Source organism: Homo sapiens, chromosome 3, assembly GCF_000001405.40.
Source record: "Homo sapiens chromosome 3, GRCh38.p14 Primary Assembly".
NCBI classification, from domain to species: domain Eukaryota; kingdom Metazoa; phylum Chordata; class Mammalia; order Primates; family Hominidae; genus Homo; species Homo sapiens.
In genome coordinates this window covers 132,851,154-132,863,793 of record NC_000003.12, presented here as the reverse complement: position 1 = coordinate 132,863,793, position 12,640 = coordinate 132,851,154, and the positions used below count along the sequence as shown (strand labels likewise).

At 37.9% G+C, this 12,640-nt stretch overlaps 1 long non-coding RNA gene across 1 annotated transcript in view; it reads right to left on the bottom strand.

The window, feature by feature from the left end:
- Window positions 1-12,640, bottom strand: part of NPHP3-AS1 (NPHP3 antisense RNA 1) — a 152,462-nt gene that overhangs the window by 10,418 nt on the left and 129,404 nt on the right. Inside the window, exon 10 of the long non-coding RNA NR_002811.2 lies at window positions 3,174-3,246. This is a non-coding gene — a long non-coding RNA (NPHP3 antisense RNA 1). The remainder of the gene's footprint in view (window positions 1-3,173; window positions 3,247-12,640) is intronic.

Here is a 12,640-nt window from a genome sequence, read left to right as displayed (position 1 = left end):
CAGTAAATGTATAAAATAAGAAAAGCTACCTGATCATATCAACAGATGCAGAAAAACATTTGAAAAAATATAACATCCATTCATGACAAAAATGCCAGCAAACTAAGAATACAATGGTGCTTCCTCGGCCTGACAAAAGGCACTTATAAATCCTACAACTAACATTACACCTAAAGGTGGAAGATGTAATACTTTTCTTCTAATATTGGGATCAAGGCAAGAATGTTCACTTTCACCACTTCTATTCAACATTGTACTGAAAATCTTAGCCAGTGCAATAAGGCAAGGAAAATAAATAAAAGGTACACAGGTTATTTAAAAAGAAGTAAAACTCTATTCACAGAAAACATTATCTATGTAGAAAACCTCACAAAATCTCCTAATGCTACCTGCACGTTGTGCACATATACCCTAGAACTTAAAGTATAATAATAAAAAAAAGAAAATCTCACAAAATCTACAAAAAGCCCCTAGAACTAATGAATGAGTTTAGCAAGGTTGCAGTGTATAAAGCCAACACACACAATACAAGTGTATTTCTATATGTTAACAATGTAATGTACAACCAGAAACTAAAAGGTAAAAAAATACCATTTATAATAACTTAAAAAAATAGAACTATAACAAGACATGTACAGTATTTATATGCTGAAAACTAAAAAATGTTAATATAAGAACTTAAAGAATATCTAAATAAATGGAGAGAGATAATATAGTAAAGATGTCAATTCTCCCTAAAAATTATCATTAGATTTAATAATACTGATGAAAAGCAGGATGTTTTTGTAGATATGTACCAATAGATTTTAAATTTTATATGATAAAGAAAATGAAAAGGAAGTAGAATAGCTAAAAATATATTGATAAAGAAGAATAAAGTTGGAGGACTCATACTACCCAATTTCAACTTACTAGAAAGCTATAGTAATCAACACAGTATGGTATTGACAAAGGGACAGAAATATAGATCAATGGAACACATCTATGAGAAAGTCCAGAAACCAGACCCTTATAAAAATTGCCATTTGATTACTGACAAAAGTGCTAAAGAAATTCATATATCTGACAAAAGACTTGTATTCAGAATACGTAAAGAACACTCAAAAACTCAGCAATAGGAAAACAAACAACCCAATTATTAAAATGGGCAAAGGACTTATACTTCTCTAAAGAGGATATAAAGTTGGCAGACAGGAACATGAAAAGATGTTCAACATCATTAGCCATGAGGGAAATGCAAATTAAAACTACTACACAACTACTTAATTGACTAAAATAAATAATCCTGATACTACTTGATGAGGATTGGAAAGCAACCAGAACTCTCATATCTTACTGGAATGTAAAATAATAGCAGCACCCTGGAAACACTCTTAGCAATTTCTTACAAAATTAAACATACGTTTACCATATGAGCTAGCAATCCCACTCCTCCATGTTTTCCCTAAAGAAATGAAATTTTGGCCGGGTGCAGTGGCTCACACCTGTAATCCTAGCACTTTGGGAGGCCGAGGTGGGCAGATCACGGGGTCAGGAGATCGAGACCATCCTAGCTAACACGGTGAAACCCCGTCTCTATTAAAAATACAAAAAAAATCAGCCAGGCATGGTGGTGGGCACCTGTAGTCCCAGCTACTCGGGAGGCTGAGGCAGGAGAATGGCGTGAACCCGGGAGGTGGAGCTTGCAGTGAGCCAAGATCATGCCACTGCACTCCAGCCTAGGCGACAGAGTAAGACTCCATCTCAAAAAAAAAAAGAAATGAAATTTTATGTTCACACAAAAACCTATACATAATTGTTTTTAGAAGCTCTATTTATAATTGCCCCAAACTGAAAATAACCTAATGACCTTCAATAGTATACTAGTTCCTATTTCTGCTGTAACAAATTACCACAAATTTAGTAGCTTGAAATAACATACACTTATTATCTTATAGTGTAGCGGGTCAGAAGGCAGAAATGGGTCTCACTGGACTAAAATCAAGGTTTTGTCAGGATTGCATTTCTCTCTGGAGACTCTAAGGAGGAACCAATTTTCTTGCTTTTTCTAGTATGTAGAGGCTGCCTTCATTCTTTGGCTCATGGCCCCCTTCCACTTTCAAAGTCAGCAGTGGCCAGTTAAGTGTTTCTGACAATGCCGTTTCTTTGGTTATGACCCTTCTGCCTTACTCTTCTCCATTTAAGAACTCTTATGATTACATTGGCCCACCTGGCTAATACATAATAATTCTGCATGTTAAGGTCAGATGATTAGCAATCTTATTTTCATCTATAACCTTAATTCCCTCTTGCCATATAACATAATATATTCACAGGTTCTGGGGAAAAGGATGTACACATCTTTAGGGGGCTATTAATCTGTCTACCACAAATAGGCAAATGAATAAACAAACTGCTGTACCTCCATACAATGAAATCCTATACAAATCCTATACAATTCTATACACCTATACAATAAAATCAGCAATGAAAAGGAATAAACTTTTGATACACAACTTGGATGGATCTCAAAGGCATTATGTCAAGTAAATGAAGCCAATCTCAAAAGATGATATATACCATAGGAGCCTATTTATAGGACATTATCAAAAACATAAAATTATAGTGATGGAAAACAGATGATGGAATAGAGATGGGGGAGGGTGTAATTACAAGGTGATAGCACAAGGAATTCTTTAGGGTGATGGAACTGTTCTGCATCTTGATTATGGTGGGGGGTAACATGAAAGTACACATTTGTTAAAATTCATAGACTTGTAACCCCATGTGAGAAGAAAGTCAATTTTATCAATGATAATTTTAAAATTAAAATTTCCAAGTCATACAACTGTACACTCAACATACACACACACATACACATATGCACACACAACACACACACACACACACAGGCTCACTATGGTGCTTAACAGTATTAAGGAACAGGAAAACTGACCAAAGAGGTTACACCAGACTCTAGCACCAGACTCCAGCACTTTGATAGCGAATTGAAAAAAGCTTTCCTAGTTCCCATCAAAGCTTCCCTGTAACAATCTATCTGAGCCTACATTTTCTCACCTTAAAATAAGGATTATATTAACCTTATTGGGTTATTAAGATTAGATGACAATGTGTATGTAAACATTCTGACACATAAAAGGATGCTCAATTGTGTTAATTTTGTTTTTACCAACCTGTTGGTGTGTCTGGACTCTCCTGTCTTCTTTTTCTCACAGACAGAACTTCAGGGACTGGAATAACCTAATCCTATGAGTGGAGAGACAAATCTTTTAAGGAGAGATAGGTAGGATCACACAAGCTACTAAAGACTCTCCTGAGATGTGATAGTTCCCAACAAAAACATTATGTAAGGTCTATCTATGATATATATTTTATTCCTATTTTCCAACATAAATGCAATCAAGCATTTTCATCATCAACATCTTTACAGATATCTTCCTTGCCTTCCTCTAATCATATCCCCAGCATCTTATCCCTATACTTCCTCCATGGACCTCATAAATGGCTAGTGAGGTAGACTATAATGGAATGGTCATCCATACATTTATTCTTTTGTTCAAACATCACTTACCAAGTATGTCCAATTGCTAGGATTTGAGCTCAACCCCGGAAATACAAATGCAGATCAGCCTTCATCCCAGTCCTTGAAGTGTTCACAGTCTAATTGTTGAGTGTCGCAAGACATGAGATTGGTGGTGGAGGCAGGGGGTGGTAGAGTCTATCACTTTAGATGTTAAAATAGATGAGTTTTCAGTTTAAACTTTGAGAGCTACAGAAAGCTACTCCAACCAGAAATCCAAAAGAATTGAGTGGGAAACAGCATCCAACAAGGGAGACTACCAAAGAGTGAAGTAAAAATACATCTGAGAACAGGTGGGAACTAAAAATATTAAATAAAAATGAGCATCTTTCTTTCTAGACTCAATGCAATTTGCACTTGTCTTGCTCACAGAGTGTGAGGAATGTTGTCTACTTGGCAAATGAAAATTTGTAAAAGGACTTGGGTTTCTCATGGAGAAAAAAAATGGTGTTATACATAAGCCTAATGAGAATAATTATCAAGTGGCTACAACTGATGAGTTATATTATTAATCATACTGAGGTCTAATATTAGCATAGAATTAGAAATGACTTCAGAAAATTTCAAGTCTGACACACTTTGCCTATTTGCTCCACAGTGAGAATGATCATGCATAATGAGACATATATTTGAAGGTCTCTCTGTAATCCTGTCTTTCCCCACTTACTGAGAGTAGATGACTCTGTTAAATTGGCCTTCAAACAATAGACCTTTATAAACATGAGTAATCATGGAAAAGGTGAAGAATATCTATTTTTCTCTACCTGGCATCTAAGATGTTGAATTTGGGATTTCTAAGATCTGATCTTCGCCTATTTTGAAATAGTAAGATGAAATAAAGACCTCCTTGGAAGGTATAATACATTATTATTTACTATATTGCATTATTATTTACTATATGTTGCATAGTGTGCAATATATCTCAAAGAAAACAAACTTATTTCTCCTATCTAATCAGTATTTGAAGTGATGTATGTTAATTAGCTTGATGTAATTATTCCATATTGTATTCATAAGTCATAACTTCACTTTGTGCCCCATAAACATGTACAACAATAATTTATGAATTTACAGTTAGAAAAAGAACACTTTTTAAAAGATTTCCTTGGATGACATTTGACAGTTGTTTTGTACTCATAAGATGTTATCGTTTTTTTGCCCTATATCTTTACTCACCATCATTGTCATACTGATTAGAGAGAAAAATGTGTTTTTTTGGTCAGTGGAAGGTGATTTATTAGCAAATTTAGAAGCATGTAGCAGCACGACAGGTAGATCTTTGCACTGTTACCCCCTAGACCCAGGGCTTACATGCCATATAAGAAGAGCATATGTGCTTCAGAAGTAATGTGTAGGATCACTGAAATTAACCCCTCAGGGAAAGGCAAGAACGCTATGTGCCTCATAGCCCATAATTTGCCAAAAGACAGGACTTAGGTAAGTACATATTTATGATAACATCAAGGTTGTCTTGGCTTACACAAGCAACAGTAAATAAAGTCAAAATCTTAGAGACATTCCTGGGCCTGGGGTTAGTCAGAAGTCAACATGGCAGATTAGCATCCAACATGAAGTGGCATTATCCTGTGTAGTGTCCAGTGTTGTACATTTGTTTAGAAGGGAGTAAATGAGATTGAGCACTGGGAGCAATAGTAGAAGGACACCCAATAGCCCAAAGTTGGAAGGAGCACAAGTGTTCATTGATGGAAGAATGGATAAACAGAATGTGGTCTAAACATACCATGAAATATTCTCCAAACTTAAAAGGGGAGGAAGTTCTGACACATGCTACAACATGGATGAACCTTGAGGACATTATGCAAGTGAAGTAAGCCAGGCAGAGAAGGATAAATGCTGTATGATTCTACTCATATGAGGTACCTAGAGTAGTCAAACTGATAGAGAGAGAAAGTAGAATGGTGGCTGTTAGGAACTGTGGGGATGGGAAGATGGGAAGTTGTTTAATGCGTACAGAGTTTCAGATCTGCAAGATGAAAAGAGTTCTAGTGATGGATGGTGGTGATGGTTTGCACAACAATGTGAATGTATTTTACACTACTAACTGCATATTTAAACATGGTTAAGATAGCAAATTTTTATTTTGTGTATTTTACTAGAATTTAACAAGAAAAAAAGGTTTTTTTTCAAAAGAGTAGTAGGACAAAACAAGGTGAGAATGGTCTCATGAACTTCCCATCTTCCCATCCCCACAGCTCCTGGCAGCCACCATTCTACTTTCTCTATCAGTTTGACTACTCTAGGTACCTCATATGAGTAGAATCATACAGCATTTATCCTTCTCTGCCTGGTTTACTTCACTTGCATAATATCCTCAAGGTTCATCCATGTTGCAGCATCTGTCAGAACTTCCTCCCCTTTTAAGGCTGGATAATACTTCATGGTATGTTTAGACCACATTCTGTTTATCCATTCTTCCATCAATGAACACTTGTGCTCCTTCCAACTTTGGGCTATTGGGTGTCCTTCTACTATTGCTCCCAGTGCTCAATCTCATTTACTCCCTCCTAATCAAATGTACAATGCTGGACACTATGCAGGATAATGCCACTTCATCTTGGATGCTAATCTGAGAATGGTCTCATGAAAGTCTCATGAAATAATGGTCTCTTGGGAAATCTGTGTCCCAAGAACACAGATTCTGCTCATGGGCAGAGACCCAGCTGAGATCTCTCTAGGAGTGGATAAGACTAAGGATCTCCATCATTCAACTGACTCCCCTGGCACAGTCACAGTCTCACCACCAGCCCGCCAAAGAATTGGGTTTTGTGGGGTGGAACTTGGAAAGCTACCAACATTTTGAAACTTGTTATGTTTTAAAAAATCAGTAGAAATGTTTTTTTCTGTCCAGCCAAAGGAAGAGAGTGTCTCTAAAATGAAGGATTAATGGAATGCTGCTAAGAAAAAGATGAAATGAGGAATGAAAACATCAGTGGGACTAATGAACAGTGGCATTACTGCTGAAATAATACAATGTCTTTAAGATGTAGAGGTGGGGTTGAAATCACACTGAAGTAGGTGACACTCTCTTCTTCCTTATCCAGGAATGAGTTGGTTGTTGGAGATTATCAGTCTGATCCACTCCAAGAGAGATCCCAGCTGGGTCCACTCTGTGCTCCCCTGGGATCGCTCACCATGGCTAGAAGTTAAAATCAGATTACATATTTGCCAGATGAGCACGACAAACTCATCCTCTTCCTACTTCTCATTTTTTCTCTCCTCCTCGTCGTCATTCTCTGCTGCTGCTGTTTGTTTTCTTTTTCCCCCATTGTATTTATTTTCATGTCCTCTCTCCTGTGGTTCCCATCCTTGGCCTTGGAATTAAAGAATGACTTGGAGAAGAACTGAGTGGGGAGGACGGAGGTGTAGAAGCATGGGCCATTCTGACTCTCTATACATTCTGGCACAGATTTAGTTTCTATCCTTGGCGAACTATTTAATATTCCAAATGGCAACAGATGAGACCCAGCTGAGATCTCTCTTGGAGTGGATCAGACTCAGGATCTCCATCATTCAACTGACTCCCCTGGCACAGCCACAGTCTCACCACTAGCCTGCCAGCCCCGAGAATTGGGTTTTGTGGGACGGAACTTGGAAAGCTACCAACATTTTGAAACTTGTTAACTTAAAAAAAATCAGTATAATTTTTTTTTCTGTCCAGTTCTTAATGATTTGTGGATTGGGTCTTCATATACTGAAGTAAAACCCAGTAGGGTTCAGAGATTATGAACAAACCTGATGCCAGCATTTTGGTTCACCTTACTCAATGCTCATCCTGCCAACTGCCCTGGTCCATCCCCCTTGTGCCTCCTGGTGGGCCTCTTATCTCACTCTCAGTCTAGCTGAATCCAACTTTCTGCCACAAAGGTTTCTGAGCAAGTTCTCAAATTCTCTCCTCCTGCAGACCCTGACAACATGCACACATCCATAGCACATTATTTAGCATTTAACTGTGCAAAGATACATCTATTAACATGTCAGATGTGGTCCAACAAGGCACAAAGGGACGAGTAAGTAACAGAGAAGGAATGGGGATGTATTCTAGAAAGTCATAATGGTGGAAATGAGGGACATTACAGAGCAAAAATTTAATTATATACTTAACATATATAATATAACCCTTTACAGTCATATTTTTTAAAAGGTTAATTTATATTGACTAAGACAAAGCAGTGCTGTGTGTTGCTATGGTAGCACACGGATTCTGCTCATGGGCACCAGGGCCTCACTTTTATTTCTGGAATAAGAATCAATTTCATCCTCAGCTGAGACATCTAATTCCCAATGTCTAGGCCTTGAAATCGATGAAATGCACAAATGCATCAAATTAATTAAGAAATATTTTAAGATATTACTTAAGAATATCTACTAATTACCACTGCTAAGCTAACAGTAATCCATTTCAAACAGCTATTGAGTGCCTCCAATGGCAAAACTCTGTGGTAGACAGAGGATTAAAGTGGCAGATAAGAGGCAAGACTAGCTTGCACCTCCCCACTTGGACAGAGCAGCATGTGGAGACTCACATTGTGAACTTTTGTCCCAAAAACTACCACAGGAACATACCAGGAAAGCCGAGAGAATCCACAGACCCTTTGAAGAACTGGATCACTTCTATGGGTTCCCTGAGATGCCGAAAACCTCTTAGTCGGCTTGCTTTCTCAATGGGGAGGCTCATGGTCTGGGGCAAGTTCTCAGCCCTGGTCACTGGCTGCCTGCAAATAGACTTGGTGCTGTTGTGGGGGCTCGGTGAGAGTAAGACCAAACTTTAGGACTGTAGGCTGTGTGGGAGCAGGGTGAGGCCTGTGACTGCTGGCTTTCCCCTACTTCCCTGGCAACCTGTATGACTCAGCAGAGGCAGCCATAATCCCCCTGGGAATATAACTCCACTGGACTGGGAACCACAGCCCCATTGCCCACAGCAGCTGCAGCAAGACCCACCCAAGGAGAAGCTGAGCTCAGACACACCTATTCCTGCCCCTACCTGGAGGTCTTTCTCTACCTGCCCTGGTAGCCGAAGACAAAGGTCGTAATCTCTTGAGAGCTCTATGGCCCTGCCCACTGCCTGAGAAACCTGAACCCTTGATCAGGTATCCCCAGGGCAAGTTCGCATCCTCCCTATAGCACCGCAGCTGATGTGCTCTTGAAAGTGCCACCTCCTGGCTGGAGGCCAACAAACACAAAACCAGTGTACTAAACAAAAACACAACCAAGGACTCTCACAGAGTCCACTTCCCTCCCCCACTACCTCCACCAGAGCAGGTCCTGGTATCCACGGCTGCAAGACCTGAAGATGGATCACATAACAGGACTCTTTGCAGACACTTCTCAGTACTAGCCTGGAGCCCCATAGTTCCGCTGGGTGGCTAGACCCAAAAGAACAAAAACAATCACTACAGTTCAGCTCTCAGGAAGCTCCATTCCTAGTGGAAGGGGGAGAACACCACATCAAGGGAGCAGCCATGAGACACAAGAATCTGAACAGCAGCCCTTGTATCCCAGATCTTCCCTCTGACATAGGCGACCCAAATGACAAGGAGCCAGAAAAACAATTCTGTTAATATGAGAAAACAAGGTTCTTCAACACCTGCAAAAGATCATACCAGCTCACCAGCAATGGATCCAAACCAAGACAAAATCTCTGAATTGCCACAAAAATAATTCAGAAGATCAATTATTAAGCTAATCAAGGAGGCACCAGAGAAAGGTGAAGTCCAACTTAAAGAAATCAAAAACATGATACAGAATATGAAAGAAAAATTCTTCAGTGAAATAAATAGCATAAATAAAAAACAATCACAACTTCTGGAAATCAAGGACACACTTAGGGAAATACAAAATACAGTGAAAAGTCTCAGCAATAGAATCGAACAAGCAGAAGAAAGAACTTCAGACACAGAATACAAGGCTTTCGAATTAACCCAATCCATCAAAGACAAAGAAAGAAGAATTTTAAAAAATGAACAAAGCCTGCAAGAAGTTAGGGACTACGTTAAATGTCCAAACCTAAGAATAATTAGTGTTCCCAAAGAAGAAGAGAAATCCAAAAGTTTGGAAACATAGTTGAGAGAATAATTGAGGAAACCTTCCCTGGCCTTGCTAGAGATCTACACATTCAAATACAAGAAGTTCAAAGAACAGCTGGGAAATTCATTGCAAAAAGATCATCACGTAGGCACATAGTCATCAGGTTACCTAAAGTAAAGACGAAGGAAAGAATCTTAAGAGCTGTGAGGCAAAAGCATCAGGTTACCTATAAAGGAAAGCCTATCAGATTTATAGAAGATTTCTCAGCAGAAACTCCACAAGCTAGAAGGGATTGGGGGTCCTATTTTTAGCCTCCTTAAACAAAACAATTATCAGCCAAGAATTTTGTATTCAGTGCAACTAAGCTTAATAAATGAAGGAAAGATACAATCTTTCCAGACAAACAAATGCTGAGAGAATTCGCCACTACCAAGCCAGAACTACAAGAACTGCTAAAAGGATCTCTAAATCTTGAAACAAATCCTCAAAATATACCAAAATAGAGCTTTCTTAAAGCATAAACCTCACAGGCCTATATAACAATAACACAATGAAAAAAAACCCAAGGTATTCAGGCAACAAATAGCACGATGAATAGAATTGTACCTCACATCTCAATACTAACATAATGGGCTAAATGCTCCACTTAAAAGATACAGAATGGCAGAATGCATAAGAATTCACCAACCAAGTTTCTGCTGTCTTTAGGAGACTCACCTAACACAGAAGGACTCACATCAACTTAAGGTAAAGGGATGGAAAAAGATATCCCATGCAAATGAACACCAAAAATGAGCAGGAGTAACTATTCTTATATCAGACAAAACAAACTTTAAACAACAGCACATAAAAAAGACAAAGAGGGACATTATATAATGATAAAAGGACTAGTCCAACAGGAAAGCATCACAATTCTACATGTATATGCACCTAACACTGGAGCTCTCAAATTTATAAAACAATTATATAGACCTAAGAAAGAAGACAGACACCACCACAATAATAGTGGTGGGTTTCAATACTCCACTGACAGCACTAGACAAGTCATCAAGACAGAAAGTCAGTGAAGAAACAATGGACTTAAACTATATTCTACAACAAATAGACTTACAGATATTTACAGAACATTCTACCCAACAACTGCAGAATATACATTCTATCCATCAGCACATGGAACATTCTCCAAGACAGACCATATGATAGGCCACAAAACAAGACTCAGTAAATTTAAGAAAATTGAAACTATATCAAGTACTCTTTCAGAAAACAGTGGAATAAGACTGGAAATCAACTACAAAAGGAACCCTCAAAACCATGCAAATACATGGAAATTAAATAACCTCTTCCTGAATCATTGGGTCAACAGTGAAATCAAAATGGAAATTAAAAAAATCTTTGAACTGACAATAATAGTGACGCAACCTATCAAAACCTCTGGGATACGCAAAAGTGGTGCTAAGAGGAAAGTTCATAGCATTAAATGCCTGCATCAAACAGTCTGAAAGAGCACAAATAGACGATCTAAGGTCACACTTCTCAGAACTGGAGAAACAAGAACAAACCAAACCCAAACCCAGCAGAAAAAAAGAAGTAATGAAGATCAGAGCAGAACTAAATGAAATTGAAACAAAAAAAGTACAAAAGATTTAAATGAAACAAAAAGCTGGTTCTTTGAGAAGATAAATAAAATTGATAGACCATTAGTGAGATTAACCAAGAAAATAAGAGAGAAAATCCAAATAAGCTCAATTAGAAATGAAATGGGAGATATTACAACTGATACCACAGAAATACAAAAGATTATTCAAGGCTACTATGAACACCTTTACACGCATAAACTAGAAAACCTAGAGGAGATGGATAAATTCCTGGAAATATACAATTCTCCTAGATTAAACCAGGAAGATATAGAATCTCTGAGCAGATAAATAACCAGCAACAAGTTTGAAATGGTAATTTTAAAAAATTGACAACAAAAAATATCCAGGATCAGACAGATAGGTCATAGCTTTCTATCAGACATTCAAAGAATTGGTACCAATTCTATTGACACTATTCTGAAAGATAGAGAAACAGGGACTCCTCCCTAAATCATTCTATGAAGCCAGTATCACCCTAATTCCAGAACCAGGAAAGGACATAACAAAAAAAGAAAACTACAGACAAATATCCCTGATGAACATAGGTGCAAAAATCCTCAACGAAATACTAGCAAACCGAATCTAGCAGCATATCAAAAAGATAATCCACCATGATCAAGTGGGTTTCATACCAGGGATGCAGGGATGGTTTAATATGCATAAGTCAATAAATGTGATACACTACATAAACACAATTAAAAACAAAAATCACATAATCTCAATAGACACAGAAAAAGCATTTGACAAAATCCAGCATCCCTTTATGATTAAAACCCTCAGCAAAATCAGCATAGAAGGGACATATCTTAAAGTAAAAAAAGCCATCTACAACAAACCCACAGCCAGCATTACACTTAACAGGAAAAAGTTGAAAACATTCACTGGGAGAACTGGAACAAGACAAAGATGCCACTTCTATTCAACGTAGTACTGGAAGTCCTAGCCAGAGCAATCAGACAAAAGAAAGAAATAAAGGGCATCCAAGTCAGTAAAGAGGGAGACAAACTGTCACTGTTTACTGATGATATGATTGTATACCTAGAAAACCCTGAAGACTCATCCAAAAAGCATCTAGAATTTGTAAATGAACTCAGCAAAGTTTCATGATACAAAATTAATGTACACAAATCAGTAGCTCTGCCATATACCAACAGCGACCAAGCGAGAATCAAATCAAGAACTCAATCCTTTTCATAATAGCTCCAAAAAAAAATAGGTTGGAATATACCTAACCAAGGACGTGAAAGAACTCTGCAAGGAAAACTACAAAACATTGCTGAAAGAAATCATAGATAACACAAATGAAGAGAAACACAGCCCATGCTCATGGATGGGTAGAATCAATATTGTGAAAATGACCATAGTGCCGAATGTA